The following is a 20,612-nucleotide window of genomic DNA, read 5'->3' on the forward strand; positions in this document are numbered from 1 at the left end:
CTTCTACTTTTTTTGTTATTCTAGTTTTATATTTGTAATACACTTTACAATAAGTACATTACAATTAAAATTTAGAAAATGTTTATCCATGTTGCACTTTAAATCATCTCAGGTCATACTGAAGGTGCATGTACCATGCTTGCTCAGGTAAGCAGTGGGGAGTCATTAAGAGGTTTTCAGCAGGAGAATGATGCAGTTTGATTTACATTTTACCTAGGTTGCGTGATAACTAAGGGAGAGATTTCTTTTTCTATTAATATTTTTTAAACTCCTTTACTTTTAAAAATAATTAATAGACTTTATATTTTAGAACAGTTTTAGGTTTACAGAAAAATTGTATGGGAAGTACATAGAGAGTTCCCTTAGACTCCCTGTCTGCACACACCCACAACATCTTGCACTAGAGTGGTACTTTTGCTACAATCGATTATCCTTCATTGACACACAGTACCTAAAGTCTATAATTCACATTAGAGTTCACTCTTTGTGTTGTACATTCTATGGATTTTGACAAATGTAAAATGACATGAAGTGTACCCACCATTGTAGTATCATACAGAGTACTTTCACTCCCTAAAAATTCTCTGTGCTCTGCCTGTTCACCAGTTTCTTCCCCAACCCCTAGCAACTACTAATCTTTTTACTGTCTCAACAGTTCGGAATTTTCCAAAATGCTGTATAATTGGAATCATATGGTATGTAGCCTCTTCAAATTGGTTTCTTTCACTTAGTAAGAAGCATTTATATTTTCTCCATGTCTTTTCATGGCTTGGTAGCTCTTTTCTTTCTATTGCTGAATAATATTCTATTATCTGGATGTACCATAGTTTTTTATCCACTCATTTACTGAAGAACATCTTGGTTGTTTTGAAGGTTTGGCATTTACAAATAAAACTGCTATAAATGTCTATTTGCAGGTTTTTGTGTGGATATAACTTTTCCATTAATATGGGTAAATACTAAGGAGCATGATTGCTGGATCATATGGTGAAAGAATGTTTAGCTTTGTTAGAAACTTTCCAAAGTACTGTATCATTTTGCATACCCACCAGCAATGTTGCTGTTATTCCACTTCCTTGTCTGCATTTGGTATTGTCAGTGTTTTGGATATGGGCCATTCTAATAGGTGTGTAATGGTATCTCATTGTTCTTTTAATATGCAATTCCCTAATGGCATATTGATGTGAAGCACTTTTTTCTATGCTCACTTGCCATTTATATATCTTCTTTGAAGCAAAATCTATTCAGGTTTTTTGCCATTATAGAGTCAAATTGTTTTCTTATCATTGAGTGTTATAATATCTTGTATATCTTTGATAACAGACCTTTATCAGTTGTGTCCTTTGCAGAAATTTTCTCCCAGTCTGTAGCTTGTCTTCCCACTTGCTTAACAGTATCTTTTGCAGAGGGAAGTTTTAAATTTTAAGTAAGTCCAGATATATGAAGTATTTCTTTCAGGGATCGTACATTCGGTGTTTTATTAAAAAGCCATACCCCAGTTGACATAATTTTTTTATGTTATCTTCAAGAAGTTTTATAGTTTTGCTTTTCACATTTAGGGTCATGATTCATTTTAAGTGTATTTTTTTGTGAAGGGTATAAAGTCTGTGACAGGATCTATTTATTTATTTATTTATTTTTGCATGTAAATTTCCATTTGTCCCAGCTCCATTTGTTGAAAAGACTATTTTTGATCCATTTTATTATCTTTGTTCTTTGCCAAAAATCAGTTAACTATATTTTTGTGAGACTATTTCTGGGTTTTCTGTTCTGTTCCATTGATCTATTTGTCTATTCTTTTACCACATGTCTTGATTACTGTGGTAAAGTAAGTCTTGAGTCAGGTATTGTTGGTCCCCTAACTTTGTTGTTCTTTGCAATATTATTTTGTCTATTTTGGGTTTTTTGCCTCTCCAAGTAAACATTAGAATCCATTTGTTAATATACAGAAAATAGAAAATAGCTGCTAGAATTTTAATTGGGACTGCAATGAATCTGTAGATCAAGTTAGGAGGAACTGACATCTTGACAATATTGAGTCTTCCTATCCATGAAAATGGAATATATTTCCATTTAATTTTTTGCTTTCTGTCATCATTTTGTGCTTTTCCTCATATAGATATTATATGTATTTTATTTTATTTATACTTAAGTATTTTATTTTGAGGGGTTGCTCATGTAAATGGTAATGTGTTTTTAATTTCAAATTCCACTTATTCATTGCTGGTATAGAGGAAAGCAACTGACTTTTGTATGTTAAACTTATATTAAGCATTCTTGCTATAACTGCTTATTAGTTCTAGTGGGATTTCTTTTGTCAATTCTTTTGGATTTTCTACATAGACAATCATGTCATCCGTGACCAAAGACAGTTTTGTTTCTTTCTTCCCAATCTGTATGCTTTTTATTTCCTTTATTGCATTAGCTAGTACTTCTAGTATCATGTTGAAAAGAGGAAGCATCCTTGTCTTCTTCCTAATCTTGGAAGTGAAGCTTAAAGTCTCTCACCATTAAATGCAATGTTAGCTATATTATCTTATAGCTCTTTTAAATTAACTTGAAGAAGTTTGTCTTTATTTCTAGTTTGTGGAGAGTTTTTGTGATACACCGGGTGTTGCATTTTCTCCGATATTATACAGGGGTGTGGCATCCTTTGATATGATCACTTTATTTTTCTTCTTTAGCCCATTGATGTGATGGAGTACATTAATTGATTTTCTAATGTAGAACCAGCCTTGCATACTTAGGATAAAACCCACTTGTTCTAGGTGCATCATTATTCTTTTACATTGTTTGATTTGCTTTGCTAATATTTTCTGAGGCAATATTCGAGCTTTTGCACATATGTCCATGAGAGATACTTGTCTGCTGTTTCTTTCTTGTAATGACTTTCTCTGGTTTTGATATTAGGATAATGCTGGCCTCATACTCCTTGGTAGGAAACACTCCCTCTGCTTCTGTCTTCTGGAAGAGACTGTAGAAAATTGGTGTAATTTTTTTCTTAGCTGTTTGGTAGCATTCATCATTAAATCCATCTCAGCCTGGTGGTTTCTGTCTTAGAAGGTTATTAATTGATTCAATTTCTTTAAATAGATATAGGCCTATTCAGAGATATTCATTTTTTCTTGTGTGAGTTTTGGCAGTTTGTGTGTTTCAATAATTTGGTCTATTTAATCTGGGATATCAAATTTGTAGGCATAGATTTGCTCATAATATTCCCTTGTGATCCCTTTATGTTTATGGAATCTGTAGTAATGCCTACTCTTTCATTAGTTAGCCTGGCTAGAGACTTAAAAATTTTGTTGATCTTTTCAAAAAAACAGCTTTTGGTTTTGTTCCTTTTCTTCACTGATGTACTGTTTTAAATTCTATTCATTTCTGCTCTATTTTTATTATTACTTTTTTCTTTTATTTTGAATTAATTTGTTCTTTTTCCACATTACTAAATTATAAGCTTAGATTATTGATTTTAAAACTTTTCTTTTTTAATATACACATTCAATGTTATAAATTTCCCTCTAAGCACTGCTTTTGCTGAATCTTACAAATTTTGATAACTTGCATCTTAATTTTCATTTAGTGCAAAATATTTTTAAATTTCTCTTAAGCTTTCTTCTCTGACCCATGTGTTACTTATTTTTTTTTAAATTATACTTTAAGTTTTTGGGTACATGTGCACAACGTGCAGGTTTGTTACATACCTATACATGTGCCATGTTGGTGTGCTGCACCCATTAACTCGTCATTTAACATTAGGTATATCTCCTAATGCTATCCCTCCCCCCTCCCCCCACTCCACAACAGGCCCTGGTGTGTGATGTTCCCTCTTCCTGTGTCCATGCGTTCTCATTGTTCAATTCCCACCTATGAGTGAGAACATGCGGTGTTTGTTTTTTTGTCCTTGTGATAGTTTGCTGAGAATGATGGTTTCCAGCTTCATCCATGTCCCTACAAAGGACATGAACTTATCATTTTTTATGGCTGCATAGTATTCCATGGTGTATATATGCCACATTTTCTTAATCCAGTCTATCATTGTTGGACATTTGGGTTGGTTCCAAGTCTTTGCTATTGTGAATAGTACTGCAGTAAACATGCGTGTGCATGTGTCTTTATAGCAGCATGATTTATAATCCTTTGGGTATATACCCAATAATGGGATGGCTGGGTCAAATGGTATTTCTAGGTCTAGATCCCTGAGGAATTGCCACACTGACTTCCACAATGGTTGAACTAGTTTACAGTCCCACCAACAGTGTAAAAGTGTTCCTATTTCTCCACATCCTCTCCAGCACCTGTTGTTTCCTGACTTTTTAATGATCGCCATTCTAACTGGTGTGAGATGATATCTCACTGTGGTTTTGATTTGCATTTCTCTGACGGCCAGTGATGATGAGCATTTTTTCATGTGTCTTTTGGCTGCATAAATGTCTTCTTTTGAGAAGTGTCTGTTCATATCCTTCACCCACTTTTTGATGGGGTTGTCTGTTTTTTTTTCATGTAAATTTGTTTGAGTTCATTATAGATTCTGGATATTAGCACTTTGTCAGATGAGTAGATTGCAAAAATTTTCTCTCATGTTGTAGGTTGCCTGTTCACTCTGATGGTAGTTTCTTTTGCTGTGCAGAAGTTCTTTAGCTTAATTAGATGCCATTTGTCAATTTTGGCTTTTGTTGCCATTGTTTTTGGTGTTTTAGACATGAAGTCCTTGCCCATGCCTATGTCCTGAATGGTATTGCCTAGGTTTTCTTCTAGGGTTTTTATGGTTTTAGGTCTAACATTTAAGTCTTTAATCCATCTTCAATTAATTTTTGTATATGGTGTAAGGAAGGGATCCAGTTTCAGCTTTCTACACATGGCTAGCCAGTTTTCCCAGCACCATTTATTAAATAGGGAATCGTTTCCCCATTTCTTATTTTTGTCAGGTTTGTCAAAGATCAGATAGTTGTAGATATGTGGCATTATTTCTGAGGGCTCTGTTCTGTTCCATTGATCTATATCTCTGTTTTGGTACCGGTACCGTGCTGTTTTGGTTACTGTAGCCTTGTAGTATAGTTTGAAGTCAGGTAGCATGATGCCTCCAGCTTTGTCCTTTTGGCTTAGGATTGACTTGGCAATGCAGGCTCTTTTTTGGTTCCATATGAACTTTAAAGTAGTTTTTTCCAATTCTGTGAAGAAAGTCATGGTAGCTTGATGGGGATGGCATTGAATCTATAAATTAGGTTGGGCAGTATGGCCATTTTCACAATATTGATTCTTCCTACCCATGAGCATGGAATGTTCTTCCATTTGTTTGTATCCTCTTTTATTTCATTGAGCAGTGGTTTGTAGTTCTCCTTGAAGAGGTCCTTCACATCCCTTGTAAGTTGGATTCCTAGGTATTTTATTCTCTTTGAAGCAATTGTGAATGGGAGTTCACTCATGATTTGGCTCTCTGTTTGTGTGTTATTGGTGTATAAGAATGCTTGTGAGTTTTGCACATTGATTTTGTATCCTGAGATTTTGCTGAAGTTGCCTATCAGCTTAAGGAGATTTTGGGCTGAGATGATGGGGTTTTCTAGATATACAATCATGTCATCTGCAAACAGGGACCATTTGACTTCGTCTTTTCCTAATTGAATGTCCTTTATTTCTTTCTCCTGCCTGATTGCCCTGGCTACAACTTCCAACACTATGTTGAATAGGAGTGGTGAGAGAGGGCATCCCTGTCTTGTGCCAGTTTTCAAAGGGAATGCTTCCAGTTTTTGCCCATTCGGTATGATGTTGGCTGTGGGTTTGTCTTAAGTAGCTCTTATTATTTTGAGATACGTCCCATCAATACCTAATTAATTGAAAGTTTTTAGCATGAATGTTGTTGAATTTTGTCAAAGGCCTTTTCTGCATCTATTGAGATAATCATGTGGTTTTTGTTGTTGGTTCTGTTTATATGCTGGATTACGTTTATTAATGTGCATGTGTTGAACCAGCCTTGCATCCCAGGGATGAAGCCCACTTGATCATGGTGGATAAGCTTTTTGATGTGCTGCTGGATTCGGTTTGCCAGTATTTTATTGAGGATTTTTGCATTGATGTTCATCAGGGTTGTTGGTCTATAATTCTCTTTTTTTGCTGTGTCTCTGCCAGGCTTTGGTATCAGGATGATGCTGGCCTCATAAAATGAGTTAGGGAGGATTCCTTCTTTTTCTATCTAATTGGAATAGTTTCAGAAGGAATGGTACCAGCTCCTCCTTGTACCTCTGGTAGAATTCAGCTGTGAATCCATCTGGTCCTGGACTTTTTTTGGTTGGTAAGCTATTAATTATTGCCTCAATTTCAGAGCCTTTTATTGGTCTATTCAGAGATTCAACTTCTTCCTGGTTTAGTCTTGGGAGGGTGTATGTGTCAAGGAATTTATCCATTTCTTCTAGACTTTCTAGTGTATTTGCATAGAGGTGTTTATAGTATTCTCTGATGGTAGTTTTATTTCTGTGGGATTGGTGGTGATATCCCCTTTATCATTTTTATTGCATCTATTTGATTCTTCTCTCTTTTCTTCTTTATTACCATGTGTTATTTAGAAATATGTTGTTTAGTCTCCAAGTCTTTGAGGATTTTCCTTGTATCTTTCTATCATTAATTTCTAGTTTAATTCTATTTTGGTCTGGGAGAAGGCATCATATAATTTCTTTTATGTTAAATTTGTTAGAGTGTATTTCATGTCCCATAATGTGGTCTATATTGGTCAGTGTTTCACATGAACTTGAGAAGAATCTGCTGTTGTTGAGTGAAGCATTCTAGAGATGTCAATAATATCCAGTTGCTTGATAATGCTGTTAAATTCATCTATGTCCATGAAGAATTTCTGCTTCCTGAATTTTTCCATTTCTGATACAAGGGTGTTACATTTTCCAACTATAATAATTAACCTATTTCTCCTTATTTTTCACTCAGTTTTTGCTTCATATATTTTGATGCTCTGTATTTAGGAACATGCACATTAAGGATTGTTATGTCTTGTTATGCTATTGTTATTGTTATGACAATTGAACCCTTTAAAATTATGCAATGACCCTTTTTATATCTGATAACTTTCCTTCTTAAGGCATACTTAAGAAGAACAGAATGACCTAACATGTTTTAAAATGATTTCTTTTCCCCTCCTCCTGCTAGAAGCACAAGGGAATTTTTCTCTAATATTCACTGTGAGGACCTGGTAAGATTCTGGAGGTGGAGCTAATGTGTGACTTCCTCTAAGACTGGGTCACCCTGGAGTTTTTAACTCTCAGACTTCTCCTCACTGAGCATCCAGTAGTTTATTAATTACAGTTCTGGCTTTCCTTTCCCCTTACTGATTCTCATGCTTGTTTTTTTTTCATGGGTTTATACCGAGGTAAATTGTGATTTTCTGCATTTGTCTAACTTTCACTCCAATTTGGGGGCAGTGGTTTGTCCTGTGACCTCATTTCTGTGACGGATTTAAGGAGAGTTGTTGATCTTTCATTTTGTTTAGTTTCTTATTTGTCAAGATTGAGAGATGACTTCTAAGTGCTTTCCATGCAGAACCAGAAATCAGAAGCCCTGAATTTTAGTAGTATTTTAAAAGGCTAATATGTTTAGTTTTAAATGTAAAAGAAAGAGTTGAAAATGACAGACTATTATTTTATACATTTTGTCAAACATATATTTCCAGTAACAGATTACAGTTAAGCAGACCAAATAAAGTGTGATTTAAAAAAGGGTCATATTAAAGGACTGGTAGGAATTGGTTATAGATAAACCTCTGTGCAAATTTCATAATTTATTCTATTCCAGTAACTGTAGGTATAGGTGAGTGGACTTTAAGTGATGAGCTAATTGTTTTAAAGTAGTGGCAGGTATATTGAAATAATTGTATATGAAAACATTATATCATAGAAAAGGAAAACAAACAAAAACTTCTCCAAAAGAAGCTGTTTAGGGGAAAGAGTTTTACCTTTCCATTTTGTTCTTTGTTTTTGTTTTGATTTATCCAAACAGAATGCCATAATGAATCCTCTTCAGGCCTCAACTGATAGAAGATTAATACTGAAGGTTCACAAATGTACCTTTTATGATAGGTGACTTCATAAAACATTCTTCAATGTGATATTGAAAGCTGGAGACAATTTTGTTGTTGTTTGTAGACTTCAACTGATTTATTATCTATTACAAAAGAACTTCTAGATGAGTTTGCATCCAATTGTTACAGGAACTTTGTCCTACATATACCTTTGAAAATCATCTACATTACTATTCCAGCTTCCATGCAAAATTATCAAGACAGATATAAATAAAATTTGTTTTCAAAGATCTCTAGAATATTCAAAGAATATCCTCCAGCCTTCTCCACATTCCAGCTCTTAATAATCCTTAGTGCCACATTCCAGCAGTAAAGAAAGTTTACCAAATGCCTGAACTAAATTATTCCTATGATGTTTAATGTGATTTTTCTGAGTACTTCTGTGGACAGAGGGCTGCTATCCTTGGAGGCCATGTAAAGCATCTTTGACAACCAAAGATAATTTTAATTTTTCAAGTGTGTTTATTAATGTCCAGACAAGAGCTTTGAGTCATCATATTATCTTGGACTCAAATCCTCATTCTCCCATTTTCCTGCTAATGTAACCATGAACAAGTGATCTAGGATTTCAGAGCCTCAGTTTCATCACCTGTAAAATGGAGATAATTATTCCAGATTTAGCAGATTGGTGTGAAGATGCAAGACAAAACACATGTGAACTACTAAGATGTTGCTTGGCATGTGGTAAGCATTCCTAAATACAGAAGCTTCTATGGTTGCATTTATTAATATTATTTCATTACTTCATTCATTTATGAAAAATTTGGCAAACATTTATTATGTATATTCAATATTATAATCACTCTGTTAACTATTTAATATCATCTTGTGTTCCCGAATTAGGTTAAATTAATGAAGTTCTATTTTCAATTTATTGAAAATTGTTCCTGGTCTTATAACAATGTCTATTTCATCCCCACACACAGGCTACTAAATCCAGTAATAAGCCAATCCTAGTAAACATGACTTATTTTAAAAAATCAAAATAAATCAAATTTATTTTCTTTTATCATAGTACTGTGGATAACTAACTTAAAATTTCTCTCTCTACTCAAACATTTTTCTTAACTTTCTTTTATACTAAGTGAATTATTTCAGTTTATCTTGGTGGAATACATGCATGCTTTGAACTCAGGCTGAATTTGTTTCCTATCTTAACATTGCCACTTATTAGCCCAGGAACTTAGATTATTATGAATCTCTCTGAAACTTGGCTTTCTCAGCTTTTCCAGACATAATGACGTTTTCTGAGAATGGATGTGAAACCCAAATAAAATAATGTTACCTGGTTTAGTATCTGACAGTGAGTAGGTTCTCAATAAATGGTGTATTCATGAAATAGATTAAAATCAGGCACAAGTTTTAATCTGAAAGTGTCATTTATGCTTAAAAATTTCCCTTAGAATCTTACTTTGACAAGTTTCACGATTTTTAAAAATCACTTTTGTTAAAGACATTGCCTATTAGAAGAACAACATACTACATAATTTCAGAATTTTTTGTCAGATGAAGACTTTATGGAAAACATTTAAGGAAAATTTTAAATGGAAATCAGGTGTCAGAAGTTTAATTAGAAAAATTCATCCCTTATACATGGGGCTAATGTAGACTATGGCAAGCTGCTTAATTGTTGATTCTAAAGCTATTTTTACATTGTCAACATTCTATTTAGTAATCTTGGGGGAAATAGCATCAAAAGCAGACAAAGAAAAATATTTCACTTTCCTGCAGCTGATTCCTGTGATTGCCTGACGTTTAGTTACATTTGGGCATCTGTCTCAGGAACTCCCATTGTCTGCAACCATATGCAAACTGAAGTGTGCATTGGGGTATAGACATGTGGACAGAATTTACACTTGGATATGCCATCTAATAGCAGTGGGAGAAGCTGGACAAGCCTAAGATACTTCATACAGTTCATTGAATGAACTGTTACTTTATTATTTTGTAAAGCTTCTGTAATGCACATTTATGATATAAAAAGTGCCTTGCATACTGCTTCATCGGAAGGGGACCTCATTTAGATTAACCTGTGACTTCAACAGCAGGTGGTAGAATGAACCAACTGCTTCAATTACTGCTTTTGCGCATGACTTTCATGTGTTGCTAAGATTATCAGAGGAACCTGATTACATCCCCTTAGACACTATTGTTGGCACGATGATTAAGCTGTTATTTTTTTTTTTTTTAAGACTGGAAACCTAAAAAGCTTTTTGGCATGAGGCAAAAGCACTGTGTATAGAGATCAGTAAGATAGTGTGTATCATTGCCCTGTAGCTTATCTCCACATATACAGCTCCCTGGTGGATCCCTATGATAAACATTATTGGAACAATTAGCTGCTGCTGACACAGAATCCAGACACAATAGCCATGGCCAGCAGCACAGAGCCAAAAATTATGGAGCCAAAAACCATAAAAAGCAACACCAAGCCAGTCTCCCCATTCAACTGCTGTCATAAAACCCTCCCAGTGCTATGTTTGCATAGCTGGCTTCACCGATATGGCACTGTTAACACAAAAGAAGAAGCTGCAGCACTTGTCTTTGTTTAACTGAAATTACAAGTCATTGAATTAGTATGTCATCTTTATTGTGCTGTCATGTAGCGGAGGTGAGGAAGGCTCCGTAATGGATGGGAGAGTTTGATGGCCTGAAAGACAGGCTCACAGATGGTTGTCGATATAGAACAGTTTTCCCCCCTTTAAAAAAAAAAAAGGAAGAAAGAAAGGGGGAGAAAAAGCAGAAAGCCTGCTTGGAATGGATCTTTGCTTATTTGTGGTATAATACCAAGGAATATTCATACCAGTTTCAAAATTAAGAACTTTGGTTGCCTGGAGTATACAACAAAGGCATGGAATGCAAACGTTCCTGAGGAATGCATTTGTGATTTAAACAAAAGTGATGAAACAATTTAGCTTCTTAGAAAGCTGGTTGTTATTATTGTTGTTGTAGGGGAAGTTTCTCATAATATTTCTAAACAGTTGGAAATTATTAGATAATATGAATGAGAAGGGTTAACAGTGTTTTAGAAAGTTTAAAAATAAAAAGTGAGAACTTTGACTATTTTTTCTTATTACAAGAAACTTAAAGTTCTGCACTTGTGTATGTTTTCATAGAGAATACAAAACAGTTTATTAATAAGAGAGAATTTGGGATGAATTCGACTTCAGACATATTTTTAATTTAGTGATTTTTTGCCTGCCTTGCTGCTTATCTATAGTTTTAATTTTATTTACAACACATAATTGGACAACTATATTAGAACTATTTATTGAAAATCAATGAAATGAGACACTGAATTTTATTTTTAAAAGACAAAAAGTTTTATTTCCTTTGATATGATTATTAAAAAGTTTTACCCAGTAAAAGGTATTATTCTGAATTTACTTCTTTAATGGAGAAAGCACTCTGTCTCCCAGTATTTCATTTCAGGTGGGACTCTCATCCACCCAACACTCAGGGCAATGCTTTAATTAAGGAGGAAACCAGTTACATCTAAGAGTGTGTAGAATTTTTAATGTACTGGTAATTATTTGGGGTCTTTTTTTTTCTTGTGTATGAGAAAAAATACGTGAAAACTTCAGAAAATAATTTTCTATGGTAAAACTGAGACAGATGTATGGAAATATATGAAAATCTCTAATAAGAAAAATACCCAGGTGACTTTATATTAATATTTTAAAAATACACTTGATCATATCTAAACAAATCTTAAGGGGTGAAATACAAGGATTGAATAATGTCAGAAATTAGCTCTTCACAAAAGTGCATATTTTCAAATGTGAAAAAAAAGCTTTCTAAGTATTTCTAAAGTAGGACTTCAATGTCTTCGGAAAAAGCTGTGTGAAGGAGAATTATGGAATTAAATGCCCTGAGATCCTAAGCTTATCTATGTTTTTGCAGCAATATTATTGCATGTCTAATCTTCTAGTTTACGTTTATTTTGTCTTTATTTGAGAATTGTGATGCCGGTTCTTGCAGTTTGTCATGAAAAGTATCTTTTTCAGGGGGAAACATCGTTAGTGCGTGTGTGAGTTGGGGACGTGGGGAAAAGAACATGGACTTACAGTTCATCAGATCTGGATTTGAATCTTGGCTCTGACACCTGTTAGCTAAATAACCTTGATCAGGTTACATAACCTCTTGGCATCTGACTTTCTTATTTGTAAATAGGAGTGAGGATAAGTAGACAGAGTAGAGATAAGGGGAGCAAGTGACCAGGCCACAGCCTGGGAGTGAATTTTCATAGCGGTGAGGTTACAAGTTGTAACTCATTGTCCTGTGTCAAAAATGTTACCAGTGTAAGGGCAAGGACTAACCAGACCCAGATCCTGGAAAAGGAGGCTTACATGGAGGTTTGGGCACAGAAAAGTACAAGGTCAGAGAACAACCGACAGAATGACAGCTTGATCTGACAGCCTGTCAGATCTAAGGAGAGAAGGCTCCCTAAAATCTGTCCAACTAGCACTAGTTCCAGTGCCTAGAGCCTGGACTGAGGATCAAGAGGTCTCGGCTCTTGGTAGAGAAGACTTTGTGGTCACAAAGCCAGGCAAGTCATTAAGGTTACCATCATTTACAACTTAACATAAATGAGCCAGTTAAGTAAAGATATTGATAGGGGTCAGGGTAGGAAGATGGAGAACAAAGGGCAAGAAAACTAAAGAATTAAGATTTTCCCGCCAAGGAGAAGAAATTAAGGAAGGAGAAATTTAAGACAGTCAGGACAAATCCCATTATGATTAAGCCATGAGATGCTTAACTTTGTATTGCAGAATTACCTTCTTTTTTTTTTTTTTTTTTTTTTAACCCAAATAGGGGACAGTCTGCTCTGGCAACCGCTACAGAGCTCTAGATCCCCCGCACTGTAGGACTTCTCATGCCAATGGCTGCTTGGTTACAGATATGGTGGCTAGAACAGGCAGTTTCTTGGGTTGTGTGAGAGGTTTTAGGGGTTTCCCTATCATTCCCACTACTGATGAAACATCTTCATTTGTTCTATATCCCTCAAATATTTCTGTGAAGTCAGAAAGATTTTTTTTCTCTCTCTTTTTTATTTTATTTTTTGAAACGAGGTCTCACTCTGTTGCCCAGGCTGGAGTGCAGTGGCGTGATCATGGCTCATTGTAGCCTTGACCTCCCTGGGTTCAGGTGATCCTCCCACCTCAGCCTGGGAAAGATTTTTAATCGACAATTAGGCATAATCAAAATCTAAAAAAAAAAAAAAGACAAACTGCAAATGGCCTCAGAATTACTCTTTTCTAATTCACGATTTACAAATCTAGTGAAATAATATATATGAAAGATATAGTAAACCAAAGATGTCAATGTATTTGTAACAATTATTACCATCTCATTTAATCTGTACAGAAGAGTGAATGAGGCCTAGTAGTTACATGTTGACTTGAACTTATGTAAAGATGTAAGTAACAGAGATCAGGTTTACCTGTGAATTGGTATTGAGAGGAGATGGTGCTAAAGGTAAATGGCCCATGAGGTAGCAAGGGGAGGGAGGGAGGTAAGATGTAGCTGGAGGAAGCTCAAGAGAGGTAAGATGAATCACTGTTTCAGCATTAACCATAGTACAAAGACCAAATTACCTGGTGTTTATAGGTGTCCAAAGCATTTTATTATGTACCTTTTTTCTCTGTTCTTTGATTTCATTCTTCCCATAAAACTTAAATTCATTTCTTGGATGAGTACTAGAATAAAGCCAATGAACAAGAAAGCGTTATCTGTTCATCATATTCAAAGGGGACTCTTTTAAATGCCCCACATACACATATTTATATTCTGCTGTTCTAGAATTATCCTAGAGTAGTTTAGGTCAAAGGGTCATGTATTTTATAATATAAGCTGATTTCAGTTAAAACATCCTTTTCTTTTTCTTTTTCTTACAGCCTGCAACTTGGTCTTTTCAAATAAATGTCAATTAATGTGTTTAAACTGCCTTTGGCTCCCTGTTCTTCCCTTTTTTTTCCCCGGGCCCTGTATTTTGCTTAAGCTGTGTGATTGAAGGAGAATTCAATGATAATTTTAAATGATCCCAGTGTTATAACCTTGTCAAAATCAACTGGGATATATTTAGCAATTATTTTAATAAGCAATGCTCATATGTAATTTTATCATTTCATATTATTTGTATTCATCAAATGTATAAACAATAATTGAATACATCCTAGTCCACTGTAAAACTGAATTCAGGTTTTCAGGCTTGGCTTGTGTATGTGTCTCCATGATTCTGCCTTTTACTTGTTTTTTATCTCTGTATTTTCTCCTCTTGCCTCCTGTGGTTTCATCCCTATGCAGATGAGTACTGGCAAATCTATCACAGATAATTTTCTATCTCCAGCCTCACTTTTATCATTAAATATTAGATTAATAATAGTCACATAAAACTCAGATTTTCTCTAGGTCAGGAGTCACTGACTTCTTTCTCAATCCTTCTGTGTAAGCTGTGACACTATAATTATCCTACAATCTAATATATTGAAGAACAACACCACAGAAAATGTAACTTTTAGTTGGAAAATGTAACAGACATTATCTACTGAGATTCTCTGCTAATGCCTCATATTCAATATGTCCAAAACACCTCCTACTTCTCCTCTAAACCAGCACCTCCTTCTGCTTGGAGCCAGTCAAGAGTTGAGTCTTCAGAGTCATGTGTTACTCCTTATTTTCAATCATTTGCCACATTCAGTAGAGTCTAGCTCTACAGTTTGAATAACTTCTCTTTACTGTTATTTTTCACACTACTAATCTCCTGAATGGATCCTTCAAACTTCTTGTCTAGGCACTAAAATCAGCCTTTTAATGATTTCCCCCACATTTAACTTCTCATTTTCCTTTGACCTCTCATCTTTCCTTCTCAAAAGATTCAAAGACTCCTTATCCCTCATAAATTCAAGATATGATACTCTGCCTAGCACTCAGGGTCATCTATATCGTGGCCAGTTTAATCCCCTGAAAAATTCCTTGAACAGAACCTGTATTTTCACAGGCCTACCCTTTTCATGAAATCATCCCCACCCATAAAATCCATTTAAAGTGCCACCCCCTTTTCTGACTCTCTGAATACAGCGTCATCTTTTCTTCTGTGAATGTCATCCCCTTGCATTTTCTAACTGTTCAATAGTCCTAATAATATTATAGATATATGGCAATTGTCTTACACCTTCTTTTTTCACTAACTTTGTAGATTGTCTTATCCCTTCTTTCACCACCAACTTTGCTCCATTTTTAAGCTCTTGTTGAGCCAGATCTGTTCTAATTATCTTTGTATTTCCAAAACATATCAGTGCAATTCCTCAGTCGTGCTGAAAAATAATTATCATATTTGATGGCAAGCAACTACTTGAAATTTATTGTTTCTTCACTGTTTGTCTTAGTAGATACTTCTCCAAATACAGTATAGAATTACAATGAATTGAATTCCAAGGATCTCGGACAGCTGAATTAAATTTTGGAGTGTGTCACTTTTCAAAATGATGAGATGAATGAATTCTTATAATCCTGGGTTGTCTATTGAGACTTGCATTCTGTGTGCTAATCTTGGGGTTCACATTTTGGGATCTGAAGTTGTCTATGTGAGGATAGTCTATAGTGGCAGTGGGATAAACTCAATTAGCAGGTAATTTTTAATAGCTATATGCTCTGGTATAATTCTTGAATTATAGAGATGGCTTCACATTTTGCATTGAGAGCAATTGGAAAAATAGTTAATGGCTCTGACATCAAGAAAATCTGAGTTTTATATGACTGTTCCTTAATTGAGGGCAAAGGACGCAAGGGCTAAATCTCTGCCTGGAAGTGAAGCTCAAAAATGCCTTTGTTTATCAGGCTGTGCTTCAACCTCCCAGACTCACCGAAATGGAGGGAGGGGCAAGGGTATTTACAGCAATTGGAAGGGCCTTATTCACCCCCTGAATTCACACTCAGCTAAACTTAGAAATGCAATTGGTTTATTTTGTATAAATAAGCAAGAATGCTGGAAGAAACTAAATATCTTCATAAAACAAAACATTATGATACCAGAAACCCTAAGGAATAGCACTAATGCTTTTAAATGAAGGTTTTATTTGTCTCTGAGCTGCAAAAAGGAGTCACTAATGAGATGTCATTTAAATTCTAACACCTGTTTAATGGCAGTTTTTCTCTATCCCCAAAGAGTAACTGTTTATGAATGTTTGCAGTTTTCCAAGTGTATCTACAAGAATTGTTTTTTCATAAACAGTGTGATGCCTTTTTCCTCATAGGCTTCATTCACCGTTACAACATATGATGAAAATTGTTGGTTGTGGCATTTTTGTATTACATGGGTTTCAAAGATAGCGTTCATTTCAAACACTGAAACTTAAAATTTTATAATTTACATAGTACATATTTATGAGAAACTTTATGTTTTACAGATGTTTGAGTGTATACTGGTATAAGAAAAATAAAATTTCTATATATATTGTTTACTAAATTTAAGTAAGATTGAAAAGACATTGGTGAAAATGTGTTTGCTCTTATATTCCCTCTTATGAAAAGAAGTATATTCATAAACAAACATACATGCACACAGATTTCTAAGATTTGCAGAAAAGAAATGCTTGTTGACTTTTTTCTCAGACAAGTAAATAACTGAAAAGGCAACAAATCAGATTGTACCATTCCTATTGTGATTTTATGTTTTTCTTATATAAACAATTTCTTATTTGTGAAAAGAATCCACAACAACTCTGTTACCACTTTTCTCAAAAACGATTGTAGTGATTAACAGACACTATAAGGATGAATATATAAAAATTACTTACCATTGGAAATATTTTCCTTAGGATGTGTCCCATTTGGTATTTATAAGATTTTATCCAGCTTGCTTTCATGATTAGCATACTTTAATAAAAATAAGTATACTTCAGTGAAATAAATAACCTATAAATGTATTTAAGTCAATTACCTCTGTCTTGAGAAATTCATGTGTAATTAATTTCTTTGAGATAGCAGAGACCTTAGGCCATGGATTTTACCAAAATGATTATATGAAATCTCCAAAATGCTGGCATCTAGGAAAGCTGCAGGGAACTTTTAAGAATGTACATCTTTGACCTAATAAGAGTCATACTTTTGCTCTGTTGGCATTCTGGATGTGTGACAAAGCAATCCTTGTTTGTGTTAGGAAAGCAGGAACTCGTTTTGATGGAAGGTGAGACTGGGCCTGTGTATGAAATATTCTATAGAACTCTTTAGGATTTAAGCTGAGCACACCAGGCTTACTGAAAAAGAGAATGGCTAAGCCATAAAATGCTCAAAGTGTGGACTTGAACAGTTCTATAAAACCTAAATGTTCTGCACATTAAAGGAGAAAAGGAGAAAATTGTTGCAGATGTGATTGGATTTCCCATTATGCTAAAAACTACTCTAAATTTCTTCCTCATGATCATTATTCCTTAGATTCCTTAGTACCAAATTATTTCCTCTCCTCTCCTCTCAAGATTCCCCCATGAGATTCTTGCCAATTTAAGGTGCTCTTTTGAATGAACATAAAGACTGGATGTTTTTCAGTTTTTAAAAATGCTTTTCTTATTTTTCTGTCTCTCTCCCTCCCTCCCCATCTCATATATGTAAAAACATACATACCTAAATACACATACATACACACACATATAAAACATTAAAGAATTGAAGCATATCAATTTGCTCCTGGTTTATACAATTTTTATTTATAGGTGGGATCTCAGTGCTTAATCCGTGTGTTCTAATTACCCACTGGATTTGTTCACGATCGGTTGACATACACCTTGCAGTAAGCCTAGAGAAATAAGCATATTCTTTTTTCTGTGCAGTTCTTGTCTTGACTTATGAAAGCCAAATATCCATTCTGTATGGGGAGATGAATCAGCAATCCATATAATATCTATTCATCATACATATTTCACAAGGAGGATATTGTGGTGACTGCAGAATTCTACAAAAATAATATGGAAATCCGGAACTTGATGTGGAGTGTCAGAGAGCCTCTTACTATTATTTACCTTATCAGCTTTTGCTTTCTGAAATCAATGGAAGGGCATCAAGTTCAGCTAATCCATATTTCTGAGTATGAAATTGAATTTATAGTCTGTAGTATGTTGACTACCGCTCGCATTTAAGGCATAATTGATTTTTATTGAAAAGCCAGCAGGCACATCAAAAATTTCCACAAACCACAAGGATGTTAAATTTTACCCTGTTTAGATAATAGTGTGGCTTTATTTATCCTTTAAAATGAAGGTTTTATATTTATATCAGCAAATGCTATGGAAGTGTGACTGATACCTTACGAAACCATCAATCCATGGTTCTGTAAAACTGTATGCACAGAAATAAGCAACTTTATATTTCTAAGGTAAATGTCTATGGTTGGTTTGTTTTAAGGATAAATGGATAAATGGAATAATAAATCTAGCATCATATCATGTCATGTGCAAAGTTATTTTTCCGTTGAAACAACAGCTTTCACCATTATTTCTTTTCTTTCCCATATTCCTTCTGCATCTCCTTTTTTCCTCTGCTTTACAAATTATATTTTTTTGTGCATGTCTGGATAAATGGTTTATGTGTATAGAATGTAATTCCTAAGAAAAAGTCTATTCTTCTATTTTAAAGTTAAGTAGTCAAACATATCATGTGTGATACTCCATTAAGTAAGTTTCACTCAAATGTTCCTAATACATGTGCTAAGTTCATTTATTTTTAACTAAAAGTTATGATGAGAAGACTCTTTTGAGTGTTGCTGCCACAAATATGTAAATTCAATGTCAGTTGCATGATGGATTTTTTAAAGTGAAGCTCTGCCTCACTTTAGTAAAGGGAAAACGAAATAAAAACAAAAAGGTACAGGTACCATTATTTGTTATAATTCTCCTTCTTTGTAATCTTATCACAGTGATTCTCACGGAGTGGGAGGAGTATCACACCCTAAAGAAAACCTTGGAAACTTGCAGGGATGTATTAGGTTTTTATAAAAATTGCATGGTGTGGAGCCAGGGCCACCACTGACTCCTGGGTGGAGTCAAGGGATGATAGACATTTGCAGCTTGCTTGCGGGAGGCTCTCATTGAAAAACTCTCCTATGCTCACAGAACTTTTGAGTATCCTATCAGACATTCATGTGGTTGAAAAACCTATGTAATATTATCCACACTTTGATTTTATTTTCATTTACATGGAATTAGAAGATTTTTTACATTGTTTAATATGTAATGAACTTTTCAGAAATCAAACTCTCTCATAAATTAATTGGAAATTGTTATTTCGAAGTTTACCAATTGTTGTTCATTGATGGCAACTCTATGGTGTTTGCTGCATCAATACAACAATCTTACTTTAGTTTGCATTAGTGGCTGATGCCTTTGCAAATTTATCATGATTCTGTGCACATGTATCAGCACTTGACTTCATGTCTTCATTATGTGGCAGTGCTAGAATATTTACATTTCAAAATATATACTATTTTATTAATATTACAAAGTTGTTTCTTTTTATTTCTTTTATTTTATAGTTGGGGCATTGTATTGACTTTTTCTATGATATTCTTGAAGTGGTTATAATATCTATGAATTTCATTTTGTTATAGTAAACGGGTTACAAAGTATTTGTTATAAAAAGGAGGAACTGGATCAGATAAAGTTGAGAACAATTGCCTCACGGCATCAAGACATGAATGCATTAGTTGAAAATTCTTCAGTGATAAATCCAGAGATTATTTTAATAGAACAATTATTTCCAATGAGGAAAATAGTATCTCAGGGATTTTTAAATATGCAGTGATAAGCCCTTAGTGCCTACTTTCTTATGTGTATGGATGAAGAGTGTTCAAAACAATTTGTCATATGCACAGAAATACAAAAGATGAAACCTAAAGAGATTATACATTAGTCTCTTAAGAGTAAAACTGACGGAGAGAAGCAGTATACCTTTCACAGAGGCAGATATTTTCAAAGCAATGTGTGACAGGTACAGGGACAAATCCCGTTAATAAGTAAGAGGATTTGTGCTTGGCTCTGTCACATGCCACTTTGAAAACCTACCCTCAAACTGTCTATAAATTTTCATGCCCATCTTTTTCTCCTTACTCTTTCCAGAGCATCTGATTGTTTTTGTTCACCAGTGTTTTTTTTCTCCTGCTTTATCTCATGGCATCCTTTAATAATTTTTAAGAGTTTTGTATATGTACTATGATTTTGTGGCTATGTTATTGTTAACAAAATATTTGCTGCATCCATTCATTTTCACTGGCCATCAACTGCTTCATTATAGGAGATTTGTTTACCTCTTATGACTTCCGAATATGTAAAAAAAAAATCACAGAAATTGAGGAGAGAAGTAACATTTATTATGTTGGTTAGTTTTTCCTTTTAATATGTAGTTAGGTTTTTTTAAGGAAAAAGAATATACACTATCTGGAAAGAAAAAGAGGTTTTTCTTTTTAGTTGTGAATTTTTGAAAACCCAATTATTAAGCCTAGAGGTCTTTAACTTTTATAAAATGGACTCAAAACAAATTTCAATCC

At 34.3% G+C, this 20,612-nt stretch overlaps 1 non-coding gene across 1 annotated transcript, besides 1 other annotated feature; it reads left to right on the top strand.

Annotated features, from left to right (window-relative positions):
* Positions 9,580 to 10,937: an enhancer, noted in NCBI's record as "VISTA enhancer hs567". NCBI's record gives its function as "enhancer in: midbrain (mesencephalon)[8/10]" and the evidence as "EXISTENCE:transgenic organism evidence [ECO:0001131][PMID:17130149]".
* On the top strand, positions 20,035 to 20,125 carry MIR2113 (microRNA 2113). The gene has a single exon (NR_031579.1). It is a non-coding gene; the product is annotated as a microRNA 2113 (primary transcript).
* The last annotated feature ends 487 nt before the right edge of the window (positions 20,126 to 20,612 follow it).

This window comes from Homo sapiens, chromosome 6, assembly GCF_000001405.40.
Source record: "Homo sapiens chromosome 6, GRCh38.p14 Primary Assembly".
Lineage (NCBI taxonomy): Eukaryota > Metazoa > Chordata > Mammalia > Primates > Hominidae > Homo > Homo sapiens.